This window comes from Homo sapiens, chromosome X, assembly GCF_000001405.40.
Source record: "Homo sapiens chromosome X, GRCh38.p14 Primary Assembly".
Classification (NCBI taxonomy): domain Eukaryota; kingdom Metazoa; phylum Chordata; class Mammalia; order Primates; family Hominidae; genus Homo; species Homo sapiens.
Window position 1 is genome coordinate 147,025,781 of NC_000023.11, and position 21,164 is coordinate 147,046,944.

The following is a 21,164-nucleotide window of genomic DNA, read 5'->3' on the forward strand; positions in this document are numbered from 1 at the left end:
GCAGTGAGCCGAGATCGCGCCACTGCACTCCAGCCTGGGAGACAGAGCGAGACTCCGTCTCAAAAAAAAAAAAAAAAAAAAAGGGAGTTGTCACTATTTTTTATTCTAGCCATTCTGATAAAGGTGCAGTATGTATCTTATTTTATGGTTTTCATTTGAATTTTCCTTATAATTATATCAAACACCTTTACATGTGCTTATATGCCATTTATATATCTTCTTCTGTGAAATATTTCCACATATCTTTTGCCTTTGTTCTAAGTGTTTCTGCTCCTTTTTTCCTAGTGTTGAATTTTGAAGTTCTTTATACAGCTTATATATAGCTTTATATATAGCTTATACATTTAGTCTTTTGACAGGTCTTTCTCAGAGCACAATTTTTAGATTTTGACAAAGTCAAATTTATCATTTTTAAAAATTTTATAAATTATAATTTTGGTGTCAAATCTAAAAACATTCTGGCTAATCCTAGGTACCAAAGATTTTCTCCTGTTTCTTCTAAAAGTTGTTGCATTTAAGCCTGTTATTCAGTTTGAATTAATTTTGTTGAAGGCCTAAGACTTAGGCCTAGATTGTTTTTCTTTTATTTGCCTGTGGGTGTCCAATTATTTCAACACTATTTGTTGAAAGGCTATATTTCCCTCCAATGAATTACTTTTATACCTTTAAAAAATTAGTTGGACATATTTGTGTACATGTATTTTTGAGTTCTTAATTATTTTCCATTGATCTATGTGCTCATTTCTCCACAGATAACCACACACTCTTGATTACTGTAGCTATATTATGTCTTAAAATCTTCCTTTCTGATTTATATGTTTTATTGCCTTATTGTAGTAACTGGAACTCCTAGTACTGTTTAACTAAAAATACTGGGAGTGAATGTCCTTGCCTTGTTTCCAGTCTTAGTGGGGAAAGTATCAGGTCTTTCACTATGAAGTTTAATGTTAGCTGCATGTTTTTCATAGATGTCCCTTATCATGTTGGAGAAGTTCCCATGTATTTCGATATTTCTGAATGTTTTATTAAAAATATTAAACTGTGCCAAATAAGTTTTCCACATCAAATAATATGATCCAGTGATTTTCTTTTTACTAGACTGCTAATATGGTGGATTACATTGACTGATTTTCAAATATTGATTCATCCTTGAATGCCTGGAACAAATCCCACATGGCATGGTGAATAATTATCATTTTTATTTTGCTAGTATTTTGCTAAGGATTTTTCCATCTATAACCATGAAATATATTGGTATGTAATTTTTTTGGTGCAGTCTTTAGCTTGCTTTTATATCAGAGTAATAATACTTTCATAAAATGAATTAGAACATGTTCTGTCTTCTCTTCTTTGCAACATATTATGTAGAATTGACGTCAGTTTCTTTTAAATGTTTGTTAGAATTCTCAAACAAAAATATCTGAACTTAGAGATATTTCATTTTGGATTTTTTTGAATTTTAAATTTAATTCCCTTAATAGTTTTAGAACAATTTAAATGATCTATTTTATATCAGTGAGTTTGGATAGTTTGCATTTTTTTTTGAGGATGGTGTGCAGTTTTTCTAAGTTGTTAATTGTGTGTATATGGAATTATATGTAGGATTCCCTCATATATTTTAGATGTCTTTAGAGTCTATAGTGCTATTCCCTATTCCATTTTTTACATTGGCAATTTATGTCTTCCTTTTTTCTTTCTTTCTCATTCTTGCTAGAAATTTGTCCACTGTATTGCAGTTTTCAAAGACCAGTTCTTAGTTTCATTGATTTTCACTGCAATTTTTGTTTCAATTTTATTGATTTCCACTGTAATCTTTACCTTCCTTATGTTTGCTTTAGGTTTATTTTGTTCTTCTTTTTTAAGTTTTTTTGCGGGGGAGGGTGGGGGGAGCTTACATTAATGATTTGAGATTTTAATTATTTTTTTAATGCATGCATTTAGTACTGTAAATTTATCATCTGCATTGCTTTCACTACGATCTCATTGTTTTTTCTCTTTTTACATCAATAAAAAGTTCCAATACTCCCTCTCTCACTCTATACACATTTCCCCTATTATTAACATTTTACATTAGTGAAATGCACTTGTCACAGTTGATGAACCGACATTGACACATGATTATAACTCAAAGTTCACAAAGTCCCCATTAAGGTTTGCTCTTGGTGTTGAACAGTCCTAAGATTTTTACAAATAAATGATGTCATGTATTTAGCATTACAGTATTATTCAGAATAGTTTCACTGCCCTAAAAATCCCTTGTTCCCCACCTATTCTTCCCTTCCTTTCCCTACAAGCCTGGAACCCATTGCTATTTTTACAGTCTTCATAGTTTTCCTCTTTCCAGAATGTCAAATTATTGGAATCATCCAGTACATAGTCTTTTCAGATTGGGTTCTTTTACTTAGTAATATGTGTTTATAATATCTCCATGTCTTCTTATGGCTTGATAACCTGTTTATTTTTTGTGCTGAATAATATTTTATTGCATGGACGGTACCAGTTTATTTATTATTTCACTTATTGAAGGACATCTTGATTGTTTTCAATTTTGACAACTGAATAAAACTGCTATAAACATCCAAGTGCTGGTTTTTGTGTGAAGATAAGTTTTAATCATATTTGGGTAAATAACAAGAAGTATGAATGTTGAATCATATGGTAAGATTAAATTTAAAGAGATTATAGATATTGCTGGATTAATATCAACCATTTTTGTATCTGTTTTCTATTTGTTCCTCTTATTCTTTTTTTCCTTGTTGTCTTCCATTTCTTTGCCTTTTCTGGTTTTGAGTATTTCATATGATTCTATTTTTTCTCACATTTTAACATATAAAGTATACTTTTAAAAAACTTTTTAAGAGGTTGCCGTAGTTTGCATTATACAAATCAAAGTCCACTTTCAAATAACTGTATACTGCTTCAAGTGTAGTGTGAGTACCTTATGACAGAATATTATGAATTTCATCCTTCTGTCTTTTGTAACATTACTGTCATTAATTACTCTCAACCATATGGCAAAATTACCCAATATATTCTTGCTATTATGTTGAATATACTGTCATCTATTAGATCAGTAAGACAAAAAAATGAAAAGTTTTATCTCCATTTATTCTTCATCTAATGCTCTACCTTTCTTTATGTGCATCTGAGTTTCTGACCGCTATTATTTCCCTTCTCTCTGAAGAACTTCTTTTGATATTTCTTCCAAGTCAGGTCTACTAGTGGCAAATCCCCTGCTTTTGTTTGATAAAGTCTTCGTTTCATTTTCGTTGTCAAAGGTTCACTGGATACAGAATGCTAGGTTAATCGGGTTTTTCTTTCATGACTTTAAATGTTTCCCTCTTCCCTCTTATTGCTTCGGTGGTTTCTGAAGAGAAGTCTGATATAATTCTTATCATTTTTACTTTATTATGTAGTGTTCCCCCTCTACCTGACTTCTTTCAAAAAACTTTATTAGTATATTTCCTTGGTCTTTTGCGGTTTGAATATAATACGCCTAACTGTATAATTTTTTGGCATTTATTTTGCCTGGTATTATCTGAGCTTACTGACTCTGTGGCTTGGTGTCTGTCAATAATTTTGTAAAATTCTCAGTCATTATTGCTTCAAATATTTAAATATTTCTTCTCTTTCTTTCCTTTTTTTCCTTGTGATATTCACATTATGCGTATGTTACCCTTTCTGTTGGTTTCCAATTTGTTCACCTTTTTTTCATGTATTGTGGATGGAAGTAATGACTTTGAAGTGCCTTACATGCTGGGCCAGAAATCCTGACTTTTAAAAAATGTGCAGACATTAAAGTTTAGTCTTTGTGCTGTAACATTCTATGAGTTTTGACAAGAATGTGTGTCATGAATTCACTACTACAATATCATACAGAATAGTTCCTTTGCCCTAACAAAATCTCTTTTGCTTCACCTACTCAACATTTAAACACCCTCTAAATCCTTGAAAAATCCTGATCTTTTTTATAGTCTTTGTATTTTTACCTTTTCTAAAATGTTATATAATTGGAATAACAAAGCATGTTGCCTTTTCAGTCATGTTTCTTTCACTTAGCACTATGCCTTTGAGATCCATCCATGTCTTTTTTGTTTCAAAGCTATTTTCTTTGTATCACTGAATAACTTTCCATTGTATGGATGTACCATAGTTGGTTTATCCATTCTCTTATTAAAGGACATCTTGGTTGCTTCAAATTTTTTGCCATTATGAATAAAGGTACTATAAACATTCATATACAAATGTTTGTATAAGCATAAGTTTTCAAATTAGTTGGGTAAATACCTAAAATCACAATTGCTCTTTTGCCTGATAAACTATGATTAGCTTTGTAAGAACCTAAAAGTTGTGGTCAGAATGGTTGTACTAGTTTGCATTCTCTCCATAATGAATGAGAGTTCTGGTTGCTTCACATCCTCACCAGCAACTGTTATTGTTCAGGTTTTTATTTTAACGCTTCTAATAATGGTTAGTGGTAACTTGTTTTGTTTTGCAATTTCATAGTGACATATAATGTTGAGTATCTTAATATGCTTATTTACCATCTGTGTACATCTATATATATTTTTTGATAAGCTGTCTGTTCAGGTCATTTACCCTTTTCTTAATTAGGTTTATTTTCTTGTTTCTAAATTTTAAGAGTTTTTTTGTGTGTTTTGCATACAAGTCTTTTTTCAGATATTTGTTTTGTAAACATCTTATTCCAGTTTGGGGCTTGAAAGTTTTATTTTTTTAATTTTGATGAAGCTAAACATCAATTTTTTTCATTTATGGATTGTGTTTTTGTGTTATATCTTAAAAACTCATTGCTAAGCTCAAGGCCATCCAGATTTCTCCTCTGTTTTCTACTAGAACGGTTATACTTTTGAATTTTACATTTACATTTATAATTCAGTTTGAGTTATCTTTGTGAAAACCGTGAGCTGTGTGTATAGGTTTTCTTTCTTTATGTGGACATCCAGTTGTTCCAGAACCCTTTGCTTAAAAAATTATTATTTCTCTATTAAATTGACTTGACTTTGATACTTTGTTCAACAGGATATTAATTATTCCAAAAATGCACTTTGGCAATGATCTGGCATGACTTCTCTGGAATCTTGGCATCATCCTCATGAAGTTCATTCCCACAGAGGTCAAAACTAGAGAACTTGATTAAAATTTGTCAGGCTAGTTCATGGCTGTGATTCATGCTTTACTGAGGACTTTTTCAACAACAAAAAACAAGATCATTGAATTACAATTGACATGAAGTATATTACTTTCCTTGAATTTTTTTCTAAATGTTAATGTTGCCCCGTGAGTGATTTTTGCTATAGGTATGGTTTGAAACTTAGAATTAATCAGCAAAATTGGGCCAGGCATGGTGGCTCACGCCTGTAATCCCAGCAATTTAGGAGGCTGAGGCCGGTGGATCACCTGAGATTGGGAGTTTGAGAACAGTCTGACCAACGTGGAGAAACCCCATCTCTACTAAAAATACAAAATTAGCTGGGCATGGTGGCGCATGCCTGTAATCCCAGCTACTCCAGAAGGTGAGGCAGGAGAATCTCTTGAACCCGGGAGGCGGAGGTTGCGGTGAGCCGAGATCGCACCATTGCATTCTGGCCTGGGCAACAGGAGTGAAACTCCGTCTCAAAATAATAATAATAATAATAATAGTAATTAGCAAAATCAAGTGTTAAATATGTTTTGACTTAACATGTCCTAGAAAGCCAAACTAAATCTTAGCTGGATAAATAGAATGGACATAGAAACCCATTTTTATTATCTTCTAGGTTCATTTTTCCCTCTCAGTTTTGTATTTGTTGTAAAATTTACAGTTGGAAACCCTTAAAACCTTGAAAACATGATATAAATGACAATAACATTGCCATTATTAAATCCGTTTGGATTTTTTTTCTTTTTATATACTGTCTCTTCTTTAACAAGAGTTGTCCTATTAGTGGAATTTACAAATAGATTCAGTATAGGTAATTATGATTTCAGTGAAAATGCTCTTATGTGGAAATTGGTTAGTATTCTTATCAGTTTTACTTTATTATGTAGTGTTCCCCCTCTACCTGACTTCTTTCAAAAAACTTTATTAGTATATTTCCTTGGTCTTTTGCGGTTTGAATATAATACTTTAACTATCTCCTTTTTGAATTCCACCATCCTGCCTTCACAGTGTTTTTATCTAAAATTCTTAAGAGTTTTAAAAAAGATTGCATCAACTTACAGCCCATCATACATATTGAAAAGAAAATTATTTTAAGGAATGTGCTCAAATGATCCTTTTCTTTTTAACTTCTAGATCTTGGTTTATATCTCCAAGAAACCTGGGAAAAGAACAGTAGCAATGTTTCATCCCCACTTCTTAGCAGGTTATCTAATAATTTGCCTATTCATGCAATGGTGACTCATAAAACCACTGCCTTCTACCACTAGATGGTTTTCCATTTCTAAATAAATAATAAATAAATAAATAAATAAATAAAAAACACACAAAAAGCTCTTACTTTTATGGATGCTGTGGGAAACACAAAACAATGCTTAAATAATGAAAAATATAACTTACTTATAGGTTCTCAGTAATATGAGAGAAGAAATGCCATATAACCATAATACAGATGATCCCCATTTAAACAGATTAATGGAAGAGAGAGAAGTGAACTCTTAAAGGATGTAATTAGAATATATCAAATGTTTCTTTGGAACATGATTTTGAATTTAAAATTTCAATTGGTGAATTGAAAAGAAGATAAATATTGAAGACTGAAGTTAATTAGTGGACTAAAAAATCAAGGAAAGTCTCAAAATAGAACAAAAACACACAAATAAATCACTAAAAGAAAAATAGGAAACTTAAAGGACAGATCTAGGGAAATAATTTCAGGAGAAGAAACTCAATCATATGAAAGAAATATATTTAGCAAAAAAGAGAAGACATTTAGCTTCACCTAAAGACTTGAGTCTGGGAACATAAGGGTCTTGCTATGGTCTGAATGTGTCTTCACAAAATTTGTATATTGAAAGTTAATTACCAATATGATAGGATTAGGAGGTAGGGCCCTTAAGAGGTTATTAAGTCATAAAAGCTGAGCCCTTATGAATAGTATTAGTGCCCCTACAAAATAAGTTGCAGGGAGGTGCCTTGTCTTTCTGTTCTCTCTTCTTTGATGAAGCAAGCTACAGTAAGTTATCCAGAAGAAACAGCTAAGATAAATGATAAGGGTGACTACACCAAAAAACAGATTCTCAATGTAGACAAAATAGTATTCTTTAGGAAGAACATGCCATCTAGGTCTTTTATAATTAGAGAGAAGACTTCAATGCTTGGCTTCAAATGAGCAAAGGGCAGGCTGACCCTTTTGTTAGAGGCTAGCACAGCTGGTGACTTTCAGTAGAAGCCAGTGCTCATTTACCATTCCAAAAATCCTAGGGCCCTTAAGAATTATGCTGAATTGTGACGCTGCCTGTGCTCTATAAATAGAAGAGCAAAGCCCGAATGAGAGCACATCTGTTTACAGCATGGTTTACTGAATATTTTAAGCCTACTCTTGAGATCTACTGCTCAGAAAAAAAGATTCCTTTTAAAATATTACTGCTTATTGACAATGCACCTAGTCATCCAAGAACTCTGATGAAGATGTACAAAAACAATGTGGCCCATGAATCAAGGAGTAATTTCAACATTCAATACATATTATTTAAGAGGTACATTTTGGGCCAAGTGTGGTGGCTCACACCTATAATCCCAACACTTTGGGAGGCTGAGGCAGACAGATTGCTTGAGCTCAGGAGTTCGAAGCCAGCCTGTGCAACATGGCAAATCCCCATCTCTATAAAAAACAGAAAAATTAACCAGTCCTGTGGTCTCAACTACTCAAGAGGCTGAAGGGGGGAGGATCACTTTAGCCCTAGAACCAGAGGTTGCAGTGAGCCAAAATCACACCACTGCACTCAGCCTGTGTGACAGAGCAAGACCCTGTCTCAAAAAAAAAAACAAAAAACAAAAAACAAAAACAAAACAGACATTTCATAAGGCTATAGCTGACATAGATAGTGATTCCTCTGATGTATCTGGACAAAGTCAAGTGAAAGCCTCTGGAAAGGATTCACCATTCTAGGTGCCATTAAGAACGTGAGATTCATAGGAGGAGTCAAAATATCAATATTAACAGGAGTTTGGAAGAAGATAATTCCAACCCTCATGGATGAATTTTGAGATTTTTAAGAATTCAGACCCTTGTCTCTACCAAATATACAAAATTTAGGCAGGCGTTGTGGCATGCACCTGGTTATTCTTTATACCACTCTTTATAATTACTTTAGAAATACTTCTTGTGGCTGCTTTGGAACTTACAATATGCATATTTGTTTACAGAATTTCATCACTGAAAAAAATTTTTTTGCTTTATTTTTGTCTGAGTTGATTCAAAGAATCTATTTTGAGCTCTGAGATTCTTTTTTCAGCTTTGTCTATTATGCTGTTAATACTTCTGATTTTATTATATAATTATTGCAGTGAATTTTTCAGCTCCAGAATTTCAGTTTGATTTTTTTCTTAAAATGGCCATTTTGTCTTTCAGCTCTTGGATTCTTTTTCTGGATTCTTTCGATTCCTTGGTTTGAGGTTCAAATTTCTGCTGAATCTTAATGAGCTTTCTTGCCATCTAGACTGAATTCTATGTCTGTCATTTCAATCACTTCAGACTGGTTAAGAAACATTGCTGGGAAGCTAGTGGACTTCTTTCGAGATAAGAGGACACTTTGGCTTTTACATTGCCAGAGTTCTTGTGCTGATTCTTTCTCATCTTTAAGGGTTGGTGTTCCTTTAACTGTGATGTAAGTTTAGTATAGTAAGTTGGCTTTATTTCTGGATTTTTTCAGAGGGCTAAGGCTCTGTGCAGGGTCTTTATTTTTTGGTGTTTTAGTTTGGGCTGCAATCCAGTAGATTGTGCTTAAGAGTAGAGGCCAGTGGGTAGCCTCTTACTCAGCTCTGTCTCCTTTGTATTTCCTTGCATTTATAGCCGTGCTCCATGCTGTGGTAAGGAGAGAGGTGACTGGCTCACCACGTTCACTCCTGGGTCTCAGGAGAGCCCCCTTCCATCATGAGCACTGTGCTTTTATATCTTTTGTTAAGTATCCTGAGCCACAGTTAATCCTCAGGAAGAAGACTCAGTAGGGAGATAGGCCACAGCCTTTCTGGGCTGACCCTGAGGAGGGAGACATGCCTCGTTCCCACATCAGCCCACAAACCCACATGCCTCACCCCTTTCAGTGCTCAGGGAATGTGGGCTCCTCCCCTGCTTAAATGCTGGCCACCAGTCTTGGCTGGGTAGTCCTGAAACTCAGAGTCAAGTTCTGGGTGTGCTGGGAGATCCAAGGTGCTCCCAGTGAAATTGAGTGGAACAAAGCCCCCAAGCTGGGCAGTGGAGGCTGCACTGTGCAAATACTTCTGCAGTGTATCTAAGAAGAGGCCCTGGTAGAGGCTGGTGTACAGGACTGTTTGCAAAACAGACATGCCCCAGGCCCTCTGGGAAGTTCACTCTGGTTTCTCCTGGCCTGATGGTTAGCTGCAGCTACAGCTTCTGAGAGGAAGATGTGGAGTCCCGGGGGACGCGTGTCAATGGCTGTGCTCTGCGAGAGTTGCCTCAGGCACAAAAGCCCCTGGCTGCACACTAGATGAAGCCCTCTCTCTGCCTACTCCCTAGGCAGTCCTCCTGCCAGCTCAAATGTCCATGGAGGATGTGGGGTCCCCTGTAGCTAGGAACCCAAAGGTCCATGAGGAGAGTGGGCAGTCCCACAGTTCCTTCACTCACACCTTTCCCAGGAGCTGTTTGGGGCTGGGAAGTAGCCCTAGCATTCAAATACTCAACACAGGGTTATGTGATTACTCTTTCTTACTCTTTAGCCTCAGTGTCTGCATCATGTCTCTACCCACTCTCAGTATTTTCTTTCCAGTGATTTATGGAAATTATATTGGTTTATTTGAAATTTTTGTCTCAGTGGGAACAGCACTTCCTGGCTATGTTTAGTTGGATACCTTGTCCTGCTCCTTTTTTCATTTTTTACTAAAAAAATGTTTTAGTGTAGAGAACAATGAGCCAGCTGTAGGTGATAGCACTCAAGTTAGGAGGTTTGAATGTTCTTTATAATGTTGGATTACTTGATAGGGATATTATATTTAGTCCCATTCCAGTCTGTAAGACTTTGTTGTTTAGCAACATAATTTAAGCAAATTTTAGGCAAATTTTTATCAGTATTTTTATCAAAATTCTGTAATTTTGTTTTATGAATGTAATTTTTATGCTTTTTTATTTCAAAAATTTTGATTTTTTAACTTTTAATTTTTATAAGTACATAGTATGTGCACATATTAATGGGGTACACAAGATACTCTGAAACAGGCAAGCAATGCATAATAATTACATTAAGGAAAATGGGGTATCCATTTCCTCAATCATTTATCCCTTGTGTTGTAAATAATTTAATTGTACTATCTTAGTTATTTAAAACTGTACACCTAAATAATTATTCACTATAGTTACCTTGTTCTGCTATCATATGGTAGGTCTTATTCTTTCTAATTATTTTTATTTTGTACCCACTAACCACCTCCGCTTCCATGCTAGCCCCTCAAAACCCTTCCAACCTCTGGTAACCACCCTTCTGCTCTCTATCTCCATGACGTAAATGGTTTTGATCTTTAGCTCTCAGAAATAAGTGAGAACATATGATGCTTATCTTTCTGTCCCTGGCTTATTTCACTTAACATAATGACTTGCAGTTCTCTCCATGTTGAAAAATAACAGAATCTCAATCTTTTGAATGGCTGCATGGTACTCCATTGTGTATATGCATCAAATTCTCTTTATCCATTCGTTTATTTTTGGGCACCCAGATTGCTATCAAATCTTGCCTATTGTGAGCAGTGTTGCAACAAACATGGGAGTACTGATATCTTTTCAATATATTAATTTCCATCCTTTTGAGTATATACCCAGCAATGGGATTGCTGGATCATACGGTAGCTCTATGTTTAGTTTTTTGAAGAACCTCCAAACTATTATCCATAGTGGTTGTAGTAATTTACATTTTTCACCAATAGTATATGAGAGTGCCCTTTTCTCCACATCCTCTCCAGTACTGTTACTGCCTGTCTTTTTTTTTTTTTTTTTTTTTTTGAGACAGACTTTCGCTTTTGTTGCCCAGGCTGGAGTGCAATGGCATGGTCTCGGCTCTCTGCAACCACCACCTCCTGGGTTCAAGCGATTCTCTTTCCTCAGCCTCCCAAGTATCTGGGATTACAGGTGCCCACCACCATGCCCAGCTAAATTGTGTATGTTTAGTAGAGATGGGGTTTCACCATGTTGGCCAGGCTGGTCTCGAACTCCTGACCTCAGGTGATCCACCCATCTCAGACTCCCAAAGTGCTGGGATTACAGGCGTGAGCCACTGCGCTTGGCCCTGTCCTTTGCATATAAGCCATTTTAACTGGGCTAGGGTGACATCTCGTTGTAATTTAGTTTACATTTCTCTGATGATCCATGAATTTAAGCACCTTTTCATATGCCTGTTTGCCACAGGAATGTCTTCTTTTGAGAAATGTCTATGAACATCTTTTGCCCATTTTTCATCAGATTATTAGATTTTTTATAGAGTGGTTTGAGCTTGTTATAGATCTTGGTTATTACTCCTTTGTTTGATGGGTACTTTGTAAATATTTTCTCCAGTTCTGTGGATTGTCTCATCACTAGCTGATAGTTCCCTTTGCTGTGGAGAAGTTTTTTAACTTGATGTGATTCTACTTGTTCATTTTTGCTTTAGTTGCCTGTTCGTCTGGGATATCAGTCAAGAAATTTTTGCCCAGACCAATGTCCTGGAGATTTTCCCCAATGTTTTCGTGCAGTAGTTTCATGGTTTTAAGTCTTATATTTAAGCCTTTAATACATTTTGTTTTGATTTTTGTATATGGTGAGAGGTGTGAGTCTAGTTTCATTTCTTCTGCATGTGGATATACAGTTTTCCCAACAGCATTTATTGAAGAAATTGCCTATTTCCCAGTATATGTCTTTGGCATATTTGTTGCAAATTAGTTCTCTGCAGGCATATGAATTTGTTTCAGGGTTGTCTGTTCTGTTCCATTGGCCTATAGTACCATACCGTGTTGTTGTGTTTACAATAGTTCTGTAGTATAATTTGAAATCAAGTAATGTGATTCTGACAGTTTATTTGTTTTCATTTTTGTTTATTATTCCCAGAATAGCTTTGGTTATTTTGGGTCTGCTGTAATTCCATATAAATGTTAGGATTTTTTAATATTTCTGTGAAGAATGTCATACGTATTTTAATAAGGATTGCATTGAATCTGTAGATTACTGGGGGTAGTATGAACATTTCAACAATATAGATTTGGATGCCCTTTATTTATTTTGTCTGATTGCTCTAGCTAGGACTTTCTGTAAAATGTTGAATAACACTGGTGATGGTGGGCATCCTTGTCATGTTCCAAATCTTAGAGAAAAAGGTTTCAGTTTTTCCTCATTCAGTATGATATTAGCTGTGGGTCTATGATGTATGTCTTTTATTATGATGATGTGTGTTTCTTCTATAATCAGTTTTTGAGGGTCTTTATCATGAATGTATGTTGAATTATATCACATGCTATCAATTGAAATGATCATATGATGAGAAGAATGTATATTCTAACGTTTTGGGTGGAGAGTTCTGTAGATATCTATGTTTATTTAACGCAGTGCAGAGTTCAAGTCCCAAATATCTTTGCTTACACAGAATTTAATGGCAAAATATTTCTTGGCAGACAAGAGTAGTCATGCAAGTTAGAATAATCAGGATCAGAAATTTGGAAAAGTTTGACAACAACCTGTTATTAATCATTGCATGTTGAAGGAAATCCAAATAAATTATGAAGAACGTAAGCAACATAGAAGAATTAGTTTCCTACTTCAGTAGTACAAGTTTCTTTAAATAGGTTGCTGCATTCACAATTTCTGTTTTCTGTGGAAAATGTTTAATTGTATATTTTAGGTATGTGACTCACTTTCTGTGTTCCTCAATTGGCTATAAATGACAATATTTAAAATGTATTCATTATTTCAATTAACATTTCTGTTATACGTTTATATTATGAATTATGTTTCTCCAATTTTAAGTATAATGTACATGCATTTAATTTTTTACATGTATTTTAATAACTAAGTAGCTAAAACTGTCTTTTCAATACTTTCGAGTATATACAAAACATAATTACCACCAATATCTCTTTGATTTACAGTAGCCTAATTTTCAGTTATCTCTATTTTCATGATAATAACATCCAGGTCCAAACTTGTTACAATGCCATCTTTAATCTTTGATAGAGTATCTGTGTATAAGAAACAATTATTTTTTAAAAGTATGATTGTATCCACAATCTAAGTGTGCCCTCCCTCCCACACACACACAAAAGCCTAAGGAAGGACTCAAAGCAAAGCTCGTTTCTCCAGCATCACTCTTACATATAAGATTTTTTTTTAATCAATCCAACACTGACATTGGGTTTAGAATACTAAGAATAATGATATTAAAGAAAATTTTCAGTGTTGAAAATGAATTGCAATACATTATTGCTTATATAATTTAATCAGCCTTTCTGGTCTTAGCAACTTTGCTGAAAAAAAAAACTGGTAATGTTGTTGTAATACTAGTTAAAAAGCTGTTATAATTAACCAAGTGATGGGTGATTTTGGTAGCAGTAGCAATAATTGAGAAATGGGAATCTGTAAAAGTTTTGAAATCAGATCCAACAGGATTTGCTGTCAGTTTGAATTTGTGGTGTGAGTTATTCACCTTATTTGACACACTTATGATCATAAATAGGAATAGAACCAATAATAGTTTATCTGTGATAGGGTTATTTTTATGATTATGAGAGCTAGTACACTTAAAATGTTTCATATAATGATTGTAACATAGTGAGTGATCAACTAAAGTTATTGATGTTCTAAAAGACTTTAAAAAGGAAACTTATGGACGCAAAGACGGCAGTTTCATAAAATTCAATTCAATTCAATTATTTAACCATCAAGAAGGCCAGAATTTATTTTGACTTTGTAGCTATGATGCGGGTAAAATAAAATATCTGAACCTTTTCTTCAGTCTTTCCTTTTGCTTTGTCGGTGAGGCTTCATTCATGCTAAAAAAAAAAAAATGCCATTTTACAACAGTGACATTTTGAGGTCAAGATTATTTCTTTGCTTTAGTAATAGTGGCCTGAACTAGGGAGTGAAATTTCAAATATCTGGCTCATCGCTAAGATGTTTTTATTTTATATACTTAAGTGGCAGAACGCCACTAACAAGTTTCCCTTCCTGATTCCATTTAAAGAGACTTGAGGATAATAGAAGTGTGTACATCAGTACTAGTCATAAAAATAAGGTACTTTCTATGCATGATATGTACTTTTATATGCTTACTTTTCCCCATCAGTGCTAATAAAGTATTGCAGTTATGTGTAAACAGCCACATCTTTCTCTATTACTTCAGCCTCATTCATTTGGTGACATTGTAAAGTTTCATAATAGTCTGTCAAATCACTTTTTCTTGCATGCATGTTCTTGTTTAAAAGTTCCCAAAGGCCCATAAAAGCTACATATTCTCAATATGTTTCACAGATACATAAAATATAAAAATTCAGTCCTTGGCAATTGTCTGCAGTTTCACTGCACCATTCTTATTGATGCCTTTGTTAAAAACCTCTTGTGATAAGACACATAAAAACCAAGTGATAAGACACATAATAAAATCCGACTTAGATTGTTCCACAAGAAATGAGCTTGAGTCTCTCATTCAGTAGTCCTTGATTTCCACCTAGCTTTCTGCTATCCTTTACTGACCACAGGCAACATGAGCCTACCTTGAAAACAAATTAATCCTTCGTATACTGGAAGCAATTGCCCAGGATAAGCCTCAGTGCTGCCTGGGCTTGTTGGTAGTGTGCATATGGATATCCATGTGCATTTTGGGTGGGAGAATAATATTATTTCAAGGAAGAAGGGGAGAGGTTACTTTATAATATTCAGTAATGAACAACATAACCTGTTCTTACACTTGAACCCTCTGAAAATTCATAGGCAACATTATGCTTTAGAAGACAATCAATGTTTACTTAGTACAGTTTCCGAAAGCTTCACATAGAAAATAAAGAAGAAATTTAAGGTAGAAATGAAAAGAATGTCTATTGACAATATGAATTATTCTCTTTATCAAAAATAATTTGTACAAGAGTGCAAAAGTATAAAAGTCTCAACAAATATAATGCTGAATAGGCACACACATTTGCAAAACAAAAATCTCAAAAAGCAACATGGGAATGAAGATAATGTAGCACTGAATTATAAATTATGAAGAAAATGCATTTTGAAATTGCTATGGTTTGGCTCTGTGTCCCCACCTAAATCTCATCTCAAATTGTAATCCTCACATGTCGAGGAAGGGAAGTCATTAGACTATGGGGATGTTTTCCCCCCGTGCTGTTCTTATGACAGTGACTGAATCCTCATGAGATCTGATGGTTTTATAAATGCTAGTTTTTCCTGAATGCTCACACTCTCTCCTGCTGCCTTGTGAAGAAGGTGCCTGCTTCCCTTTTGCCTTCCACCATGATTGTTAAGTTTCCTGAGGCCTCTCCAGCAATGCAGAAATGTGAGTCAATTAGACCTCTTTCCTTTATAAATTACCCAGTCTCAGGGAAGCTCTTTATAGCAGTGGGAAACAGACTAATACAGTAAATTGGTACTGGGAGTGGGGCACTGCTATAAAGGTAACCTGAAAATGTGTAAGTAACTTTGGAACTGGGTAACAGGCAGAGGTTGGAACAGTTTGCAGGGCTCAAAAGAAGGCAGGAAGATGTGGGAAAATTTAGAACTTCCTAGAGACTTCTTGAATCGTTTGGACCAAAGTGCTGATAATTATCTGGACAATTAAGTCCAGGCTGAGGTGGTCTCAGATGGAGATGAGGAACTTCTTGGTAACTGGAGCAAAGGTCATTCTTGCTGTGCTTTGGCAAAGACCCTGGCAACATTTAGCCCCTGCCCTAGAGATCTGTGGAACTTTGAACTTGAGAGAGATGTTAGAACTTATGTTTAAAAGGGAAGTATAGGATAAAAGCTTGGAAAATTTGCAGCCTGACAATGTGATAGAAAAGAAAACCTCATTTTCTAGGGATAAATTCAACCTGGATGCAGAAATTTGCATAAGTAACAAGGAGCCAAATGTTAATCACCAAGACAATGGGGAAAATTTCTCCAGAGCATGTCAGAGACCTTGGCAGCAGCCCCTCCCATCACAGACCTGGAAGCCTAGGAGGAAAAGATGGTTTCATGGGCCCAGGGCCTTGCTGCTGTGTGTAGCCTTGGGACTTGCTGCCCTGCATCTCAGCCACTCCAGCTCTAGCTGTGGCGAAAAAGCATCAAGGTACAGTTCAGGCCATTGCCTCAGAGGTGAAAGCCCCAAGTCTTGGTGGCTTCCACATGGTGTTGGGCCTACAGGTGCACAGAAGTCAAGAATTGAAGTTTGGGAACCTCCACCAAGGTTTTGGAAGATGAAAGGAAACGCCTGGAAATCCAGGTAGAAGTCGGCTGCAGGGGCAGAGCCCTTATGAACAAACTTTGCTAGGGCAATGTAAAAGGGAAATGTGGGGTTGGAGCCCCCACACAGTGTTCCCACTGTCACACTGTCTAGTGGAGCTCTGAGAAGAGGGCCACCATCCTCCAGACTCCAGAATGGTAGATCCAGTAACAGCTTGCACTGTGAGGCTGGAAAGGCCACAAGCACTAAACGCTGGCCTGTGAAAGAGGTGCTCAAGGCTGTGGGAGCTCACTCCTTGCATCAGCATGCCCCAGATATGAGACCATGGAGTCAAAGCAGGTAATTACAAAGCTTTAAGATTTAGTGACTGCCCTGTTGGATTTAAGACTTTCATGGGGCCTGTAGACCCTTTGTTTGGGCCAATTTCTCCCATTCGGAATGGGAGCATTTATCCAATGCCAGTACTCGCATTGTATCTTTGAGGGATAACTTATTTTTGATTTTACAGGCTTATAGGTGAAAGGGATTTCCCTTGTCTCAGATGCAACTTTGAACTTGGACTTTTGAGTTAATGCTGAAATGAGTTAAGACTTTGGGGAACTTTTGGGAAGTCATGATTAGCTTGAAATGTAAAAAGGATATTAGATTTTGGAGGGGTCGGGGTGGAATAATATGGTTTGGCTCTGTGTCCCACCTAAATCTCATCTGAAATTGTAATCTCCACATGTCAAGGGAGGGACCTGGTGGGAGGTGATTGGATCACGGGGGCATTTTCCCCCCATGCTGTTCTCATGATAGTGAGTTCTCACAAGATATGATGGTTTTATAAGTGTTTAACAGCGTCTCCTTTGCATGCTCTTTTTCCTGCCACCCTGTGAAGAAGGTGCCTGCTTCCCCTTTCACCATAATTGTAAGTTTCCTGAGGCCTCCCCAGCCACTTGGAACTGTGAGTCAGTTAAACCTCTCTTTTATAAATTACCCAGTCTCAGAAAAGGTATTTATAGCAGTGTGAAAATGGACTAATACGCAAACTGACCATATCTCTGGCAGACATTCAAGGCCTGGTTAAAATTGCGGGTCTGCCAGATGTCTTGACCTTGATGAGCCCTACGCTTTCCAGGGCTCACAGTGACTTTATACACTGACTTTCTCTGCAGGGGTCTTATAAACTCTCAGGGAAACTGAAAACAGACACTTCAGCTTACCTAATTCTTTAAAGTGGCAATGTTACCCTTTTCTTACACAGGTAGATTTCTGCTTTCTACTAATTTATTCAACAAAAAGCAAGTTATTATCTAGCAACACATACTCAAATTGCAGAAATATGGAGGAAATCAAGAGAGAAAGCCACGACCCCACAGCTCTTGCATTCTGTGTGCCTATATCATTAACAACATTAGGTGGTGCCAAGGATCACTGCTTGTGCTCTCTGGAAGGGTGGCCTGTGTCACACCTGGGTCCATCTGTGTCACAGCTGAAGTGGGTGAGAAGTACTGCACAGGAATTCAGGGAGTAGAGACTAGAAGTACCTTGAGCAGCAAGGTCCAAAGTCTCATGGGCACACTGGGGCTCTCTCTGGAAACCTTCTTTTCTCAAGGCCTGTGATGTGCATTGGAGCCTGAAAAATCTCTGAAATACCTTCAGTGTTATTCTCCCAATTTCTTGAAGAATACCACCTGGCTTACTTATATCCATACCAATTTCCTCAGCAAATTGTCTCTTAGCTACACTCGTAGTTTCCTCTCAGAAGCATGATTTTTATTCTTCAAATGGCCAGGTGTAGAATTTTCCAAATCTTTACGTGATGCTTACCTTTTGATTGTAAATTCTGTCTTTCAATCATTTCTCACTCCTTGCATTTTACTATAAGCACTTAGGAGATGCCATGCAGTTCCCTGAACGATTTGCTGCTTAAGAGATTTAGTCCACCGAATATCTTAGTTTATCATTCTTAATTTTTTCCTTCTACAAAGTCCTAGGACACAAGCATAATTCAACCAAATTCAAACAGAAATGGCCTTTTCCCCAGTTTTCAATACCTTGTTCCTGATTTCCCTCTGAGACCTCATCAGAATAGTCTTCACTGTCATGACTACTTAAGTTATCTCTAAAAAAAAAAAAATGAGGCTTTCTCTACAGCTTTTCTCTTGTTAGCTCTCACTAGAATCAGCTTTAACACTCCCTTCACAGCAATCTAATGTTTTTCCAGCATTCATTTCAAAACTCCTCCAGCCTCTACCCATTACCCAGCTCCAACCCAGCTTCCACATTTTTGGGTATCCGTTATAGCAACACTCTACTCTCTTGGCATTACTTTCTGCCTTAGTCTGCGCTGCTGTGAAAAAGTTCTACAGACTTTAAAAGCAATGTAAATATATAAGCAATAGGAATTGATTTTTTCACAGTTTGTGAGGTTGGGAGTCTAGGATCCAGTTGCTAGGCAGGTTCAATTGTTAGGTGAGGGTTGCTCTCTGGTTTCTAGATGGTGCCTTATTGCTGCATCCTCCCATGGTGAGGAAGGCTGTGTCTTCACATGGCAGAAGGCAGAAGGGCAAGTGACCAAATGCAGCATAACTTCTTCTATAAGGACATTAATCCCATTCACAAGCGAGGAACCCTAGTGGCCTAATCATCTCTTAAAGGCCCCACCTTTTAATACAATCATATTAGCAACATCTGAATTTTGAAGGGGACACATTCAAACCATGGCAACAATTTTGTCTTATTGAAAAATTTTCATAAAGACATAATCACTAGGAATGGTTCAATTTAAATTCACAGTGTTCATAGTAAAAATAAACATTCCGAAACTATTTAGCCGAATTGGGATTAAGGAATGACACATTTTCATTATTAAACAACACAAAAAGTGTTCAAGGTTTCCACATCCTAGATTTAACTGCCATAAACCCAGCATATTATAAAATATTATTCAAAACTGAATAAAACTCATTCCTATAAATTATCTACTGTTAGTATAATAAAGGCAAATTCTGATGTTTTCAAGATTCAATATGAAGAAATGCCATTTTGATAATGTGTTCAATATGAAAATGGGGGTTTGCATAATATTCATCGTTTCAGATTCAATTTCCCAACACCTACAACTGAAGAAATGCATTGATCATTACCTTTGTTAGAACTCCAAATAACAAAAAACTTTATTCTGAACATATTCTCCACTTTTCTCTATTATTCTATTATCTTCCATTAAAAATATTTTATCTATTCAACTCAATTGTAACCATAAAGATGTATGAGTACCCATGAACATCTTTCTCAATTGCTTTGAAACATAAAAAATACTAATTTCACTGTCCTCAATACTGCTATGATTAGAATTGCATGATGCTTGATATATGTTGCCTTCGGAAGCATTATTAAATTTTCTTTTTAAATAATCTCATTCATACAAGAATCTTACAACATAATTTGGAAATAAATGGCTCCTTCAGTGGGATCAGCAGGAATATTATTAAATAAATGATTTTCTTTGGTTATAATTAATTGGTCTGGATGACACTCCATGTTCCAGAGAAGTTTTTTTTTTACTATTCTCATTTGTGATGACAGAAATCTCAAACTTAGTCTTATAGACACTGTGGGGAAAAATTAAAGAGGATAAGAAATCTGCTCAGTACATTTTGATATAGACTGAATCGCAAATGAATTAAATGATGGTTCAGAGGTTTGTCAGTCAGCGTGTGGCTTTTGGAGGTTGCTGTTTTCCTGCCACAGTAAACTTTACACCCCTCCAATGCTCCATAGCCTAGGTACAAAGAAGAAATAGAATTCCCAAAAGCTAATGCTATTTTATATTAGTTCTGCTGAACAATTAATCAACACCTTACCAGGACTAAGAACTACATTAGATACTAGGAATACAGAAACCTGGTCATTGTCATGGAGATTGTGAGAGTGCAGTCAGAAAAAGGAAAGTGAGGATAGACCATTGTTATGTACACACTATAATGTACAAGAGATAAGTAAAAGGATTGTTGTCAGAATAAAGTGAAAGATCGGATTTAGTACTACGGTCAATTTTTTATGTGTTTTAAAATTTATTTTATTAATTTTTATGGGTACATAGTTGTATCTATGTGGTACATGATATATTTTTATACACGCATACAATATGTAATAATCACATCCATATAAATGGGATATCCATCACCTCAAGCATTCATTATTTCTTTGTGTTACAAGCATTCCAATTGTACCCCTCGGTTATTCTAAAATGTGCAACAAATTATTGCTGTCTATGGACACTCTATTGTGCTATCAAATACTAGATCTTCTTACACATTGTATCTAACTATATTTTTGTACCCATTAAACATCCCCATTTCCCCCCTTCTCTACCACCCTTCCCAGCCTCTGGTAATCATCTTTCTATTCCGTATCTTTATGAGTTCAATTGTTTTAACTTGTAGCTCCCACAAATGAGTGAGAACATGTGAAGTTTGTCTTTCTGTGACTAGCTTATTTCACTTAAAATAATGTCCTCTAGTTCCATCCATGCTATTGCAAATGACAGGATCTCATTCTGTAGCATTTCTATATGCCAAGAGGGAACAATGTGAAAAAGA